Source organism: Homo sapiens, chromosome 22 (assembly GCF_000001405.40).
Source record: "Homo sapiens chromosome 22, GRCh38.p14 Primary Assembly".
Lineage (NCBI taxonomy): Eukaryota > Metazoa > Chordata > Mammalia > Primates > Hominidae > Homo > Homo sapiens.
The window spans coordinates 41,765,672-41,782,442 of NC_000022.11; the positions used below are offsets into that span (position 1 = coordinate 41,765,672).

Here is a 16,771-nt window from a genome sequence, read left to right on the forward strand (position 1 = left end):
CACCCCCTTATTCTTTTTTTCTGAACCACTTGAAAATAATTTTCAGAGAGTCATTTTATTCATAAATACTTCAATTTGTATTTCCTAAGAATTAGGACTTTCTCTGTTACATAATCAGTGTACAGTGATCAAAATCAAGAAATTTAACATTGTATATAATATTGTGTAATCCTTAGTCATCAATAGTCAAATTTCACTATACCAAAATGTTCTTTTTTTTTTTTTTTTTTTTTTTTTAGACGGAGTCTTGCTCTGTCGCCAGGCTAGAGAGTGCAGTGGCGTGATCTCGGCTCACTGCAACCTCCGCCTCCCGGGTTCATACCATTCTCCTGCCTCAGCCTCCTGAGTAGCTGGGATTACAGGCACCCGCCACCATGCCTGACTAATTTTTTGTATTTCTTAGTAGAGACGGGGTTTCACCGTATTAGCCAGGATGGTCTTGATCTGCCCGCCTCGGCCTCCCAAAGTGCTGGGATTACAGGCATGAGCCACCGTGCCGGCCATACGGTTTTTGTTTTTTGAGACAGAGTTTTGCTCTGTCGCCCAAGCTGGAGTGCAGTGGCGCGATCTCTGCTCACTGCAACCTCTGCCTCGGGTTCAAGCAATTATCCTGCCTCAGTGCCCCAAGTAGCTGGGATTACAGGTGCGTGCCACCATGCCTGGCTAATTTTTGTGTTCTTAGTAGAGACAGGGTTTCACCATGTTGGCCAGGCTGGTCTCGAACTCCTGACCTTCTGATCCACCCGCCTCAGCCTTCCAAAGTGCTGGGATTACAGGTGTGAGCCACCGTGCCTGGCTTACAATTCCTTCTATATTTTTTAGTTGGAATTCTACTGTATGGACGTTTTCTTTCTTTTTATTATTCATTTTACTCAATATTATTATTATTTTTCGAGACAGGGTCTTGCTCTGTCACCCAGACTGGAGTGCAGTGGTGTGATCACAACTCCCTGCAGGCTTGACCTCCTGAGCTCAAGCAATATTCCCACCTCAGCTTCCTGAGTAGCTGGTACCACAGGCATGCACCACTGCATATGCCTGGCTAATTATTTTTATTTCCTGTAGAGACGGACTGGTCTCAAACTCCTGGGCTCAGGCAATCCCCCTGCCTTAGCCTCCCAAAGTGCTAGGATTACAGGTGTGAGCCACTGCTCCTGTCTCCAGTATTATTTTTGAGAATTACTCGTGTAGATTCACGTTGCCCTAGTTTATCAGGAAGTTGTTCTGATTAGAGTGAAAAGAAAGGTTAGAAGGGAGGTGAAAGAGTTTAGAAGGCAGAACAGGGACCATCAAGCTACTGGAGGCAGGGAAGCTCTTTGTTCTGGGCAGCTGGTTGGGCTAAAGAGGTGTGGGTAGAGGAGCACCCTCCATGGTCACTGAGGTCCTTGGTGAGCAATGGGACTGCCTAGATGAGGTAGTGCTGCAAGGGGCACCTTCAGGAGGCTCGTGGACGTCTTCCCCATAAAATTTGCCTGCTAGCTCCCAGGCCTTTCCTTGGCTTCTGTCTCTGATGTCACCTTCTTTATGTGGTATCTTTATGAAAAGGCTTCCTTGGTACCATTTACCTGTGAATGCCCTTTATGTAGAAGCAGGGTAACCTTGTATACATGCATTGTGCAGAAAGGCAGGACTCCTGGGTCCACATTCTCGTTCTGTTGCTAATGTTCTGGGCCTTCCTGGCGAGATCTCCTTCCCTTTCTGGGCCTTGGGCAGAGTTATCTCTGAGATCCTTTCTGATTCTCATGGTCTTTGAGCCTTTGTGGAAGCAGTGGAGGAGATACACACTGATGTGTGTTAAGGTATGTGTCTGAGGATCCCCAATAGCCAGAGTGTGGGTGTCTCTGTGGGGATGGATATTTCAGAGTGTCAGGCCTTACTTATGCCTGGAAACTCTTCCTTTTCAGCAACTTCATTGCAGTTTGATCAGCATTTCCTAAGCTGTTGAACACAACTCTATGCCGATGATTTTTTATTTGCTTCTCAACATTTCAGCTACTCAACCAATGTGGATTGACCACTTGACATGAGCTAGGTACCATGTGGGGCCCTGTCAGGTCTGAAATGAATCAAACAAGTTCCTTGCCCTCAGAGAACACAAGTTTGTCAGGAGAGACAAAAAGATCTCCTATGGGTCAGGCAGCTACAGTAATGAGTGCTCTCCTGGAGCTGGGGGACTGGTCAAGAACCAGCAAAGCATTATATAGCATCAGGAGAGGCTTTGTGGAGGAGATGGAGGAGGTGAAGGGAGAACTTTGAAGCTGAGAGCAGAGTATGATTTAATGTACAGAAGTGGGAAGATGCCCAATCTATCCATTCAAGGAAGGAAGCCTAGCTTAATGTGCCTTAGCTAAGTCATATGGGAGGTAGAATAGAGAGGAGCTGAAAAGGTAGACTTAAGTCTTTATTAACATGCTTGAAAATGAAATTAGGCCGGGCGCAGTTGCTCACGCCTGTAATCCTAGCACTTTGGGAGGCCGAGGCGGGCGGATTGACTGAGCTCAGGAGTTTGAGAGCAGCCTGGGCAACATGGTGAAACCCTGTCTCTACTAAAATACAAAAAATTAGCTGGGCGTGGCGGCATGCGCCTGTAGTCCCAGCTACTCGGGAGGCTGAGGCAGGAGAATTGCTTGAATCCTGGAGGCGGAGGTTGCAGTGAGCTGTGAGCTGAGATTGCGCCACTGCATTCCAGTCTGGGTGACATAGTGAGACCCTGTCTCCCAAAAAAAAAAAAAAAATGAAATTAAGGGAACAATTCCATTTACAATAGCATCAAGAAATTAAATACTTGGGAATATAACTTAACAAAGTATAAGGACTTTGTGTTAGTCAGTTCTCGCATTCTTATAAAGAACTACCAGAGACTGAGTAATTTATAAAGACAAGAGATTTATGTGACTCACAGTTTCACAGGCTATACAGGAAGCATGGCTGAGGAGGTCTCAGGAATCTTACAGTCATGGCAGAAAGCAAAGGGGAAGCTGGCATATCTTATATGGCTGGAGAAGGAGGAAGAGAGTGAAAAGGGAGGTGCTACAAACTTTAAAACAACCAGAGCTCATGAGAATTCACTCAGTATCACAAGAACAGCAACGGGGAGGTCCACCCCCATGATCCAGTCACCTCCCACCAGGCTCCTCCTCCAACACTGAGGATTATAATTTGGACATGAGATTTGGGCGGGGACACAAATCCAAATCATATCAACTTATATAGTGAAAATTTCAAAACATTACTGTTTTTCTCTAGTTTTTTTCTTAATTAAAAATCTAAATTAACAGACTGCATTCATGAATTGGAAGACTTAATAGTTTAAGATGGCAGTGCTCTCCAAATTGATCGGTAGATTCAATGCAATCTGTATCAAAATCCCAATTGTACTTTTTTGCAAAAATGAATAAGCTGAACCTAAAATTCATATGGAAATGCAAAATAGTCAAAACAATCTTGAAAAAAAAGAACAAAGTTGGAAGACTCATACCTTTTTTATTTTGGAACTTAGCAAAAAACTATAGTAATCAGGATAGTGTGGTACTGACATAGGAGTAGACATATAGATCAATGAAATAGAATTGAGAGTCCAGAAGTAAACCCATACATTTATGGTCAATTTTTGATGAGGATGCCAAGATAATTCAATGGGGGAAGATTTGTCTTTTCAGAAAATTTTCAGGAACAACTAGATATACACATGCAAAAGAATGAAGTTGGACTCTTAACTCATATCATACACAAAAATGAACTCACAATGAGTGAAAGACCTAAATGAGCCAAAACTGTAAAACCCATATAATAGCATATTAAGGAATTTTTTTTTTTTTGAGATGGAGTTTCACTCTTGTTACCCAGGCTAGAGTGCAATGGCGTGATCTTGGCTCACCACAACCTCTGCCTCCCGGGTTCAAGTGAGTCTCCTGCCTCAGCCTCCCAAGTAGCTGGGATTACAGGCATGTGCCATTATGCCCGGCAAATTTTTTATTTTTAGTAGAGACGGAGTTTCTCCATGTTGGCCAGGCTGGTCTCAAACTCCCGACCTCAGGTGATCCGCCCACCTCAGCCTCCCAAAGTGCTGGGATTACAGGCATGAGCCCCCACGCCCAGCCTCATACTAAGAAATTTGAACATTGTTATGGGAATGCAATGGGAAGAGGTAGGTTTGTGAGGAGTAAGAAATTATTCAACAAGGCCGGGCACGGTGGCTCACACCTGTAATCCCAGCACTTTAGGAGGCCAAGGCGGGCAGATCACCTGAGGTCAGGGGTTTGAAACCAGCCTGACCAACATGGAGGAACTCCGTCTCTACTAAAAATACAAAATTAGCCGGGCATGGTGGCACATGCCTGTAATCCCAGCTACTCAGGAGGCTGAGGCAGGAGAATCACTTGAACCCGGGAGGCAGAGGTTGCGGTGAGCCGAGATCATGCCATTGCACTCCAGCCTGGGCAACAGGAGCGAAACTCTGTCTCAGAAAAAAAAAAAGAAATTATTCAACATATCTCCCCTTCACCCCTTCTGTGCCAGGCCCTATGCTAAGTGCACAGATTAATCTGCCACAGTCCCTACCCTCAAGCAGCTTTCAGTCTAGTGTGGGAAGTAGACATGCACACTGACAATTACAACCCACTGTGGTACCATCATCAAGCTGGGTTTCTTGACCTCGGCACTATTAATATTTTGCACCAGATCATTCTTGTGTGATAAGCTTTGTAGGATATTTAGCAGCATCCCCACTCTCTCCCTACTAGATCCCAATAGCATTCCCCCAATCAAGATAGTAAAAAATGTCTCCAGACTTTACCAAATGTCCCATGGGGACAAAATCACCCCTAGTTGATAACTTCTGTTATAAGGTAAGTACAGTGGTATTTTCTCACTAAAGTGCCTTGGGATGAGCTAGCCAAGGTGTCCTGGAATACTGAGATGACAGTACATTTTTCCTAGTCATCTCTTGGCCATGTTGGGGTCTCTTGGGTCCTCTGCAAGGTGTATTTACCTCCTTTCTTTGTTTTGCCTCCAGACTATGGTCAGTGCAATCAGAAAATTCCTAGAAGGCATCCCAGACCTGCAGCTAGTCTATACTCACCATCCGCTCCTGCTCAGGTTCTTTCTGTTGTATCCAGAGCTCATGAGTAGGTATGGGCACCGTGTCCTGGAACTTTGGTTCTTCTGGGAAGAGAGCAGCTATGAGGAACTGGATGATGTCACCTCTGCTGGGCAGCCCGCCCTTCCTGCCAGCTTAGTAGTCCTGTTCCAGTTGCTCAGAAGCATCCCCAGCATCCTGCTCATCTTGCTGGTAGGCAACCACTCATTCATTTCTACATTCAGAAATCGTGGGCCTTCTCTCTCTGAGAGCCGGTTTACTGAGGTCAGGAGGCACCCACATCTGCTTCAGCCCACCTCCAGACTTATCACTGTCTGCATGTGAGTTGGAGGGGTGGTGGTCTCTTCTACTTGTAGGTGCCTAGTTTCTGTAAATCCATACTCTTTCCTAAGTCTAATGGAAGTCTACCAACTGAGAGATGTGTGCCTCTCTTCCCCCCAGGGGATGACACTATGAAATGCAGATCTTAGTCACCATCCCCTCTCACCTCCCTGTCATCTCTCAAGCAGATTCTGCTGACACAGGTTTAATGTTAAAGGAAGCCCATGGGGCATGTAGATGGACATTTCTGATGGCAGAGGGACTCCTCCTCTTTTTTGCCATGACTTACATGATAATATTATATGTACATTACTTGCTCAGGCATACCTAGAATTGTCAGATGCCCCAGTACTTTTTTTTCTGGAGACACAGTCTCACACTGTTGCCCAGGGTGCAGTGCCGTGGCATGATCTGGGCTCACTGCAACCTCCACCTCCCGGGTTCACGCAATTCTCCTGCCTCAGCCTCCCGAGTAGCTGGGACTACAGGTGCACGCCACCACACCCAACTAATTTTTTACTTTTTTTTTTAAGAGATGGGGTTTCACCAGGTTGCCCAGGCTGTCAATACTTTTTGGTGAAGTACGTTACTGAAATTCCCATCAGGAATTAGATGGGCTAATTAGATTAGATAAGGTAAACTGCCTAGTGGCTGGCTTTAACTCCACTTTTTTTCCTTCCACTCAAGAAGGCAAATTGAACAACAAATTAGATACCAAGGAGAGTAGCAGGGGACAGAACTAAGATACTAGGTTTTCTTCACCAGATGAAATATTCGGGGTCAGTTCTTCACACATAGTAGGTACTTATAAATTATGACCCATTGAATTATGGGTCTAGACCAATCTAAGTCTGTCCAGGGATAGTAGTGACAATACAGTCATGCATTGCTTAATGATGGGGATACATTTTTAGAAACACAGTGTTAGGTGATTTTGTCATACCAACATCATGGAGTATACTTACAGACATCTAGATGGTCTAGCCTACTACACACCTAGGTATATGGGATGACCTGTTACTCCTAGGCTACAAACCTGTACAGCATGTTACTGTACTGAATATTGTAGACAAATGTAACACAGTGACATTTGTATATCTAAACATAGAAAAGATACAGCATGACTATATCTTATTTATTTTTATTTTTTTTCTTTTTTCTTGCTCTGTTGCCCAGGCTAGAGTGCAGTGGCAGGATCATGGCTCACTGCAGCGTCAATCTTCTGGGCTCAAGTGATCCTCCTGCCTTAGCCTCCCAAGTAACTAGAATTGGCTGGGCGTGGCAGCTCATGCCTATAATCCCAGTACTTTGGGAGGCCGAGCCAGGTGAATCACCTGAGGTCAGGAGTTCAAGACCAAGTAGCTGGAACTACAAGCATGTGCTACTGTGTCTGGCTAATTTTTATATTTTTTGTAGAGACAGTGTTTTATCATGTTGCCCAAGCTGGTCTCAAATTCCTGGGCTCCAGCGATCCTCCCACCATGGCCTCCCAAAGTGTTGGGATTATAGGCATAAACGACTGTACCTGCCATTTTTTCTTTTTAAATACATGAAACATAGGCTTAGAGAGATTTGCCCATGGTCACAAGAGTTGGAAATCAAAATATTAAAACCCAGATTTGACTCCCTATCTATCAGTTGTTCTGTCTGAGGCTCTCTTTTTACTCAGTCTGTTTATTCTTCCTGGGTTATCTCATTCACACCCATGGCTTTGTTTGCCTCCTGGCTGTATGGTGATGACTCAAATCCCTGCACCACCCCTGACCTCTCTCCTGAGCTCATACCCATGAAGTCAACCATCTATTTGACATTTCTGCCTAAAATGGAGCTCATTATCTCCTCTCCCAAATTCCCTTTCTCAGCCTGGGTCTTCCTAGAATGGAGAGGTCCCTCACTAACTGAAGGCTGTGCTAGGCCACTAACTTCACAGGATGTAAATATTAAAAGAAGCAAACCAAACAGAAATTGAATCTCAGGAGACCAAATACTTAGAGTCTACATCCCAGGGAAGCTGGAGTGGATGCCCCACCATTTATCCTGGTGACCCAGTCCTTGTCCTTGAATGTGCACCATCCTTATCACCTCTCCTTTCTGGAGGTGGTGGAGGTCAGGGCAGAGAGGAGTCTTGTGTTTCACTTGGCATAGAGCTTAACAGAAAGGAGCTGCCTTCAAGATGAGTTGTTGCATAGAGGACTAGGAAGATAGAGGCTAATCTGAACTTCAGTTTTCTCCCACAGAAAATGGAGAAAACATGAGGGTAGATGAGATAGTATGTAGGAACACTCTTGGTTTGCTTCACATAGTGGGCTGTCATTCACTAATCATTGACTGCCTCTGAACCAGATAAAGTTCATCTCAGAGAAGCTAATTGAATTGCCCAAGGTCATATAGTTAATAAGGGTCATGGCTATGACTAGAGCCCAAAGTGAGTAAGTTTTTCACTAACTTAGATCCTAGAGACATCAATGGTAAAAAAAAAAAAAAAAAAAAAGAACAGCAAGGAGGCCGGGCGCGGTGGCTCACGCCTGTAATCCCAGCGCTTTGGGAGGCTGAGGCGGGTGGGTCACAAGGTCAGGAGTTCGAGACCAGCCTGGTCAACATGGTGAAACCCTGTCTCTACTAAAAATACAAAAAATTAGCCGGGCATGGTGGCACGTGCCTGTAGTCCCAGCCACTCAGGAGGCTGAGACAGAAGAATCGCTTGAACCCAGGAGGCGGAGGTTGCAGTGAGCCAAGATCGAGCCACTGCACTCCAGCCTGGGCGACAGAGCTAGACTTCGTCTCAAAAACACAAAACAAAACAAAAGAACAGCAAGGAACAACTTTATTGTCTGTTCATATATATAATTCTTACCATTTCTCCCCAGCTTCTAGCCAGAGGAAGGAAAAAGAGTCTAAAAATTTTGTGTTGATACCAATTTCTGTTTTTTATATGGGTAATTAACAGCTGAAAACAAAGCTGTTAATTGCCACTCTTATCAATGGGTGGTCTTTCATGTAGGTTTTTTAGATGTGAAGGGACAATGACATCACAGAAACTCTGTTTGTTTCCTCTTTGGCCAAGTTACGCTGGTCTGTCAAGACCCAGAGAGTTCTGGACAGCAGAGACTACAGATTGGGTCATAGTTTTGCCCAGAGCCTTCCCACTGATCCATATGGTGGGGTCCTCACGTTCCTCTTCCTCCAGCATTCACCATAGCCACACAAAGCTGAGTAGCCCCTTCCTTTTATACCTTTAACATTCATTAACTCAGACTTCTGAGGGACCACCTCTGTGGCAGTGGGGCAGTGATGTGTTGGTGAAGGCACAAGACCAGGAAACTGGTTTGACTCTGGGATCTATGACCTTGGGCAAATCATGCCCCTCCCTTCCCGTCGGGCTTCAGCCTCATACTCTGTAAAGTAAAGGTATTGGAAAAAATTATCTAGATTCTCTCTAGCCCTCCCATTCTGTGACCTTTTTCTTTTCAGAGATGTTTTCTGAGTCTCTACAAGGTGACAAAGATGAAGTAGACCTCATCCCTTCCCTTCATTAACTCACAGTGCAGTTTAATTTACAACTTTATTACTTTCTTGATATGCAAACTGATTAACCTGCCCCAGTTTTCTCATTTGAAAAATTGGGGTGACACCTATATGGAAGAGTTATTGTAGAGGTATAAATAATGTATAAACAAATATACAGCTACTGTATAAACACAACATAGTACCTGACATTATTAGGCCCTGAGTGGTTGTTATTGATATATAGTTGTTTTTCCAGCAACTGCGGAGGTTTCTGAGAGCCAAACTTAGACATCCCTGTGACCCCATCCCTCTCCTTCTGCCCAGTGATCAGCACACCTGGGTTTGTCTGGCCAGATGCATTGTAGCCATATCTCTCTGTGTGTCAGTAGCTGTCCTCCCTGGAGAGGGAGTCTGTGTGACCTTGGATTCATAACCCTCAGTCCTAACTGGCCCAGCGCATTAGCCTGTCCAAAGGAATTGGCTTCTTTGAGCTAGCAGGTGCCAGGAGCTATCAGTAGGGTAGCCTCTGGTGCAGCTTTCTGACTGGCTTTGTCTTTAACATATACTCACTAAAATAACTCTGAAAGCAAAATAAAAAGCATCTTCCCATCTTCCGAGCCTAAGACCTTTATAGCTTGGGGCAGAGATAACCAGATGCCTTGGTAGAGAACGGGCCTGACCTGGTCCTCACTTGCCTTTCTGTGCACTGAATCTGTCCTAATTTATCCTCTGCCTGCCCAGTGACATCATTTCTCTTTCCTTCTTCTCTTCTTTAAGGCACACTCAGGTTCCCTGTCTTGAAAACAACCTCTTGACCCTAATCCTACCATTTGCAGGAGGGAGGCATCCTGGAAAATAGAGCTTTGGGCTTGGAGTTAGGAGACTTGCATTCAAATTCTGTCTGTGCCACTGGCTTATATGACCTTTAGCAAGTCATGTAATCTCTCTGAGCCTGTTTTCTCCTGTTTAGGATGGATTTAATAGGATGGACCTATTCTTTTTTTTTTTTTTTTTGAGACAGAGTTTTGCTCTGTCACCCAGTCTAGAGTGCAGTAGTGCGATCTCGGCTCACTGCAAGCCCCGCCTCCCGGGTTCATGCCATCCTCCTGTCTCAGCCTCCGGAGTAGCTGGGACTACAGGCACTTGCCACCACGCCCAGCTAATTTTTTTGTATTTTTAGTAAAGACGGGGTTTCACCGTGTTAGCCAGGATGGTCTCAATCTCCTGACCTCGTGATCCACCCGCCTTGGCCTCCCAAAGTGCTGGGATTACATGCGTGAGCCACCATGCACGGCCTAGGATGGACCTATTCTAAGGGATGGTTTTGAGGCGTCAGTGCACCTAGAAGAGCCTTTGGTACATAATAGGTGCTGAGTAAGTGACAGATTACCCAGTTTTTGTGACATCATAATTATGGGCCCTTTTCCTGCCCCTCTATTCCTCATTGTCACTTTTCCCCAACTGCAGTACCCTCTGATCTCTGGCTTTCTTCTCTCCTGCTCAGGACCTCATCTATTCCAGCCCAGTGGACACAGCTCACAAGGTACTGATTAGCCTGAGGACCTTCCTGAGGAGGAATGAGGATATCCAAGTGGGCGGTCTTATCCGAGGCCACTTCCTGCTGATCCTGCAGCGTCTGCTAGTGGAGCATGGGGCATCCCCATCAGGAGGTCAGTCTGCAGGTGCTGTGGGCACACTTTGACCTGAAAGCCAGTCGAGAATGGGCATCTCTACCCTTGTTAGGTCTGCTCCAGGAGAGAGAATCAGGGTTTTATCTGAAAAAGAAAGCCAGGCCATTGTGGCATCAAGCTAAACTTCACCTCCTTTCTCTCACTGCAGAGTGGGCGTACAACATGCTTGGTTTGCTGTGTGTGTGTTTAACATGAGTGGATGTGTTTGATGTGTGCATGCATATCCCCACCCTGTGCAGCATGTGCTCAGTGTTGTTTGTCACAAGCATGGCAGCCCCCTGTGGGAAGAAGAAAGTGAGAAATCTGGAGGAGGATGGAGGCAGCAGCAGTCCGCAGGGGCTGGGGAGGGAGGTGGATCTGTGATGTGTTGGAAGCTCCTAGTGAGATCCGGGGGATTAGTTTCCAAATCTGGAATGGTACTCACTGGAGTCAAGGAAGCTTGATGTTTGGTACAGTATGGAGACACTGAAAATTTGGATTGGTTTATTTTATTGTATTTATTTATTTTATATTTTATGTATTTATTTTATTATTATTTTATTTTTGAGACAGTCTCACTCTGTCACCCACGCTGGAGTGCAGTGGCAAGATCTCTGCTCACTGCAACCTCTACTTTCCAGGTTCAAGCAATTCTTGTGCCTCAGCCTCCCAAGTAGCTGGGACTTACAGGTGTGTGCCACGACACCCAGCTAATTTTTTTGTATTTTCAGGAGAGACGGGGTTTCACCATGTTGCCCAGGGTGGTCTCAAACCCCTGAGCTCAAGTGATCCGCCCACCTCAGCCTCCCAAAGTGGTTGGATTACAGGGGTGAGCCACTGCGCCCAGCTTAGTTTTTTTCTATTTTTAGAGAAGCTGAATTTTAAAAATAATTTTTTTTTTTTTTTGAGAGAGGGTCTCACTCTGTCGTTCAGGCTGGTGTGCAGTGGCGTGATCTCGGCTCACTGCAACCTTCACGTCCTGGGTTCAAGTGATTCTTCTGCCTCAGCCTCCATAGTAGCTGGAATTACAGGCATGCGCCACTGCACCTGGCTAATTTTTTGTATTTTTATTAGAGGTGGGTTTCACTATATTGGCCAGGCTGGTCTCGAACTCCTGACCTCAAGTGATCCGCCCGCCTCAGCCTCCCAAAGTGCTTGGATTACAGGTGTGAGCTACCACACTCGGCCTAAAATTATATTTCTAAGCAAAGCGAAAGGCAATCTGTGGCTACCTGACAGAGGACTGAGGGTTTGGAAGTAGATTTAAAGGTGTCAAGAGGAGATGAGTTATTTCTTTTCAGGGAAGGACAAGCCATGTTTAGCTGATAATACTGGTTAAGAACCTTAAGATGTAGTGGAAACATAGTGGGAAGGCCATGGGCATTGGATTCAGATTTGGGTCTATTTGGGCCATAGACTGGGTGACTTATAAACAACAGGAATTTATTTCTCCCAGTTTTGGGGGCTGGGAAATCCAAAATCAAGGTACTGAAAGATTCAGTGTCTGGTGAAGGCCTACTTCCTGGTTCATAAATGGCTGTCTTCTTTCCTTCCTTCCCTCCTTCCTTCCTTCATTCCTTCCCTGCTTCCTTCCTTCCTTCCTTCGTTCCTTCCTTCCATCCATCCTTCTTTCTCCTTCATCTTCTTCTTTCTTCTTCTTCTTTTCTTCTTCTCCTCTTGTTCTTCTTCCTCTTTTCCTCCTCTTTCCCCTCCTTCTCCCCTCCCTCCTCCTCCTTCCTTCCTTCTCCTCCTTTCTTCCTTCTCCTCCTTTCTTCCTCCTCCTTCTCCCCTGCCCCCCACAGCCTTGACCTCCTAGGCTCAAGCAATCCCCCAACCTCAGACTCCTGAGTAGCTGGGGTTATAGGCATGTGCCAGCATGATGACTTGTCTTCTTACTGTGTCCTCACATGACAGAAGGGGTGAGGGAGGGAGCTCCTCGCAGTTTCTTTCAAAAGGCCACTCATCCCATTCATGAAGATTCTACCCTCATGATTCAGTCATCTACCAAAGGCCTCACTTCCTAATACTATTACATTGGGGGTTAAGATTTCAACATGAATTTTGGAGGAACACAAACATTCAGACCACAGCATCCTGCCACTTTCTGGCTGTGGGACCTTGGAGAAGTCACTCAGCCTCTCTGAGCCTCAATTTTGTAAGTGCAAAATAGGAATAACAATCCATGCTTCACATTTTGTTTAGTGGGATTAAATGAAATAATGAATTCCTGGTACCAACCTATGTCTGGCACTTAGTATATCAGTTACGCCTGTTCTAAATGAAGAAAGAAATAGGAGTAAATCCCAACAAAACACCTCACCCCTTAGGAAACAAAAAACTTTGAACCTGTTATTAAGGGCCATTGAAGCAGGGCAGGGTGTCTGACCTTCAGGTGATCTGAGCATCAGGCTTCTTGCCCAGTCCTCCTTGTTCTTCACAGCCTCGGGGAACCTACCATTGCTGCTGAGCCTCCTCTCCCTGATGCAGCTCAGGAATGTGTCAGAGCAAGAACTGGACAGCGTGGCCATGAAGCTCCTTCACCAAGGTGCCCTGGCTGCTTGGGATAGCGCCCAAGGGCCCAGGGCTGGACGTGCAGTGGGTGCTCACTAAGTAGGCTGGTGTTCTTCTTTCTTCTACTCTTTCATCCCTTTGGAAGAAGCTAGTAGGTCAGTCTGTCCCTAGGGTTTTCTTGCTAAAGGACCTCTCAGGGCTTTCTCTGCTTGTTCTCTGGGAATGTTTGGGAGACACCCTACCTCTGCAAAAAATCAGCATTATGAGGCCAGGGGGGTGCTCATGCCTGTAATCCCAGCACTTTGGGTGTTTGAGGCCGGAGGATTGTTTGAAGCCAGGAGTTCAAGACCAGCCTGGGCAACATAGCAAGATCCTGCCTCTACAAACTGCCAGGCCTAGTGGCTCACGCCTATAATCCTAGCACTTTGGGAGGCTGAGGCAGCATGTCGTTTGAGCTCAGGAGTTCAAGACCAGCCTTGGCAACATGGTGAAACCCTGTCTCTACAAAAAAAATACAAATAATTAGCTGTGTGTCGTGATGCAGACCTATATATAGTCCCAGCAACTTGGGAAGGCCGAGGCGGGAGGATTGCTTGAGCCCAGGACGTCAAGGCTGCAGTGAGCTATGATCTCACCACTGCACCCAGCCTGGGCAATGGAGTGAGACCTCGTCCCTAAAACAAACAAATCTGTATGACAGGCACAAGCTCTAGAGTCAGGAAGGCCTGGGTTTGAATCTCAGCTTAGTCACTAGCAATCATCTAGTCTCTGTGAGTCTTAGGTTCCTCATAGGTAAAGTAGTAGTACTTTCCTAAACTAGGGTTAAGATACGGAATACTTATCTAGTTGTTAAGATAAGGAATACTTATCTAGTTAGATAGAGAATGTCACACAGTGCTTGACACACAGTAGACCTTCAACAGATCCTATTCATGCAGATTCCTTTTTTCCTGGCACAAGGTCAGCTCTCCAGCTCATCCTACAATTGACTCAGATCTGATGATCCAGTTCACAGTTCTCCAGGCTTTTTTCTTACCCACACCCCAAACCTCCTCGGTTTCTCAACTCATGATGCTGCCATCACTTCACAGGCAGCACCTGCAGGAAGATTTGCTGAGGGAAGGTTGAAATGAATAGGAAAAATGACATGTCTTCAGTGTTTGTGGACCCCCCAGCTCCTGTAGCCACAGGTGAAGATGGGGCATCTTCCCTGCCTGGAGCCCAGTCCACCTCATGAGAACATCAGTGTCAGATTCAAAAAAAGGCCACTGGGGACGCATTGCAGATGGCCTCAGCCTGGTGCCAGTCATCACCAGCCTGTCTGTGAGATCAAGGCTGACACTAAGCTAGGAGGGGGATCTGTGTGTGACAAACTCAGCCTTCAGAAGAGCCTCTGACAGGGAGTAACAGGCTGAAACCCACACATGAAATGTAATAGGACATTTACATATAATCCTTGAGCACTTCTATATGACAGCAGAGAGTAGAGGACTGTGGTTCGGGGTGGAGGTACTGGTGTGGGAGGGAGCTGAGACCTGCTTGTCTGGGTGAGCACCGAAGTCAGGGTGTGATGTGGCTGCCAAAAAGTGAATGGAGCTGTAGGTAGGTTTCATATTAGGATGGGGATAGGGAGATGGGAAGTGGGAGTTCCCAAGAGTAAAGGGATATGTTCTATAGATATCTACAGTGTAATGTTGCACTGATGAGGCCTGGGAGAATGCAGAAGCACATCTAATCTTGCCTTGAGAGGTTAAGGAAGGCTTCAAGGGGGAGATGAACTTTGAGCTGAATTTTTTTCTTTTCTTTTTTTTTTTTTTTTTGAGACAGGGTCTCACTCTGTCACCCAGGTTGAAGTATAATAGCATGATAACTGCTCACTGCAGCCTCTACCTCTCGGGCTCAGGCGATCCTTCCACCTCAGCCTCTCGAGTAGCTGGGACTACCAGTGTGTGCCACCATGCCCAGCTAATTTTTTGTATTTTTTTGTGGAGAGACGGGGTCTCACCACATTGCCCAGGTTGGTCTTGAACTCCTGGGCTCAAGCAATCTGCCTGCCTCTGCCTCCCAAAGTGTTGGGATTACAGGCGTAAGCCACTGCGGAGGCCTGAGCTGAATCTTGATTGCTGACGGGGACAAGAGGAGTTAGCTAAATGAAGTGATGTGAGAGAGGGGATGTGGCAAGTGCAGGGAACTGCACTTCATTCGACTGTTAAAGTTCCCTTGGGAAGGTGGTGACGATGTTCACAGGATGGATCCCTTTGAAATCCTAAAGTCTTTCTGTGATGTGCAGCTGTAGGCTGCTTGCCTGATGTTTGTCTAGATGGAGGGTGTGAATGTGCCTTAAGGTTTGTCACTGTGTTTCTTTCCATTGGTTGTAATATCAGGGATACTTAGTTTGTGCTTGCTCCCCAAGACTGACATCTGAAATAGCCAGTCGCAGGCTACCACCTATGACAAGTGTGAGTGTTTTGCGACAGGCCGACTGGGGACTTTCATCTCTTGCAGTAAGCAAGCTGTGTGGGAAGTGCAGCCCCACTGACGTGGACATCCTGCAGCCCTCCTTCAACTTCCTGTATTGGAGCCTTCATCAGACCACACCCAGCAGTCAGAAAAGAGGTGCAGGGGCCCGGGCTGGGACAGTGAAGAGTGCTGGGCAGTCTGTGGTCCTCTGTATCTCAACTTTTTCATCTTAAAAAAACAAATAGGGTTGTGTGTGTGGCTGGTGGTCATAAGGTCCTTTCTGGCTCTAATAACCTGAGCTTCTGTTATGAAGCTGGGACCCTTAGAGCCTCAGGATGATCCTCTGTTTGTTTGTGAAGCCCCAATCAGGTGCTAAGCACCATAGTGGCACTTAGCTGAAGCTCCTCTGTAACTCCTGTGGGCCCTGCCTTGCCCACCCCCGACAGCTGCTGCAGTGCTCCTGAGCAGCACAGGCCTGATGGAGCTTCTGGAGAAGATGCTGGCCCTCACCTTGGCAAAGGCAGATTCTCCCAGGACTGCACTCCTCTGCTCTGCCTGGCTGCTCACTGCCTCCTTCTCTGCCCAGCAGCACAAGGGCAGTTTGCAGGTTAGTCTTTAACTCCTGTGGCTTTGAGGCATGGGGTGGCACTCAAAGGAGTGTTGAAGATCCTGAGTTCTGGTCCCAGCTCTGGGGGCTTATTAGCTGTGTGACCTTGGCAAGGTATTTACCCTTTCTGAGCTCAGTTTCCTTTCCTACAAAATGGGGAAAACATCTCAGGATTGTTGTGAGGTTGTTTCATATTAATCCACTTAACACATAAGGTTTACCTACACTCCAGGCTCTATTCTTGGCACAGAGGAATAAAAAATGAATATAGCATGTGTCCTACCCTTAGGGAACTTGTAGTCTTTAAGGATAAGATTGTACTCAGCAAAGATAGTGGGAGAAGGCATTCCAAGTAGAGAGAACAATATGAGCAAAGGCATGAAGCTGCACAAATTCAGGACATGCTCTGTATATTTGGGGAGTGGTGAGGTGCTCTGTGTGATGAGAAGGTGGGGAATGAATGGAGCAGAAAAGACCAGACGGGGAGGCAGAAGCCAGCCTGCGACCTTAAAGTGCAGCATGGCAAGCCGTGGAATGCCACACATGGTTAACTGTCATTATTACTGTTCGAGAAGGTGATGCAGGGAAGAGGAGAGC

General features: G+C 46.3%; 1 protein-coding gene across 30 annotated transcripts in view, besides 3 other annotated features; it reads left to right on the top strand.

Annotated features, from left to right (window-relative positions):
* The window catches only part of MEI1 (meiotic double-stranded break formation protein 1), a 99,952-nt gene that overhangs the window by 66,169 nt on the left and 17,012 nt on the right, over positions 1–16,771 (top strand). For 19 of the 30 annotated variants that reach the window (XM_011529945.4, XM_011529939.3, XM_011529936.3 and 16 more), the window contains 5 exons: positions 5,015–5,290; positions 10,431–10,596; positions 13,037–13,141; positions 15,613–15,723; positions 16,014–16,174. In XM_011529945.4, coding sequence (XP_011528247.1) covers positions 5,015–5,290; positions 10,431–10,596; positions 13,037–13,141; positions 15,613–15,723; positions 16,014–16,174 — 819 coding nt within the window. Of the gene's footprint in view, positions 1–1,904; positions 2,028–5,014; positions 5,291–10,430; positions 10,597–13,017; positions 13,263–15,612; positions 15,738–16,013; positions 16,175–16,771 lie in introns of those variants that run through there. The other 11 variants (XM_011529937.3, XM_011529940.3, XR_937820.2 and 8 more) reach the window with 10 other exon arrangements.
* Positions 15,645–15,694: an enhancer, noted in NCBI's record as "active region_19131". NCBI's record gives its function as "activates an Ori minimal core promoter by ATAC-STARR-seq in GM12878 lymphoblastoid cells {active_cell/tissue: GM12878}" and the evidence as "EXISTENCE:reporter gene assay evidence [ECO:0000049][PMID:35858748]".
* Positions 15,705–15,804: an enhancer, noted in NCBI's record as "active region_19132". NCBI's record gives its function as "activates an Ori minimal core promoter by ATAC-STARR-seq in GM12878 lymphoblastoid cells {active_cell/tissue: GM12878}" and the evidence as "EXISTENCE:reporter gene assay evidence [ECO:0000049][PMID:35858748]".
* Positions 15,955–16,004: an enhancer, noted in NCBI's record as "active region_19133". NCBI's record gives its function as "activates an Ori minimal core promoter by ATAC-STARR-seq in GM12878 lymphoblastoid cells {active_cell/tissue: GM12878}" and the evidence as "EXISTENCE:reporter gene assay evidence [ECO:0000049][PMID:35858748]".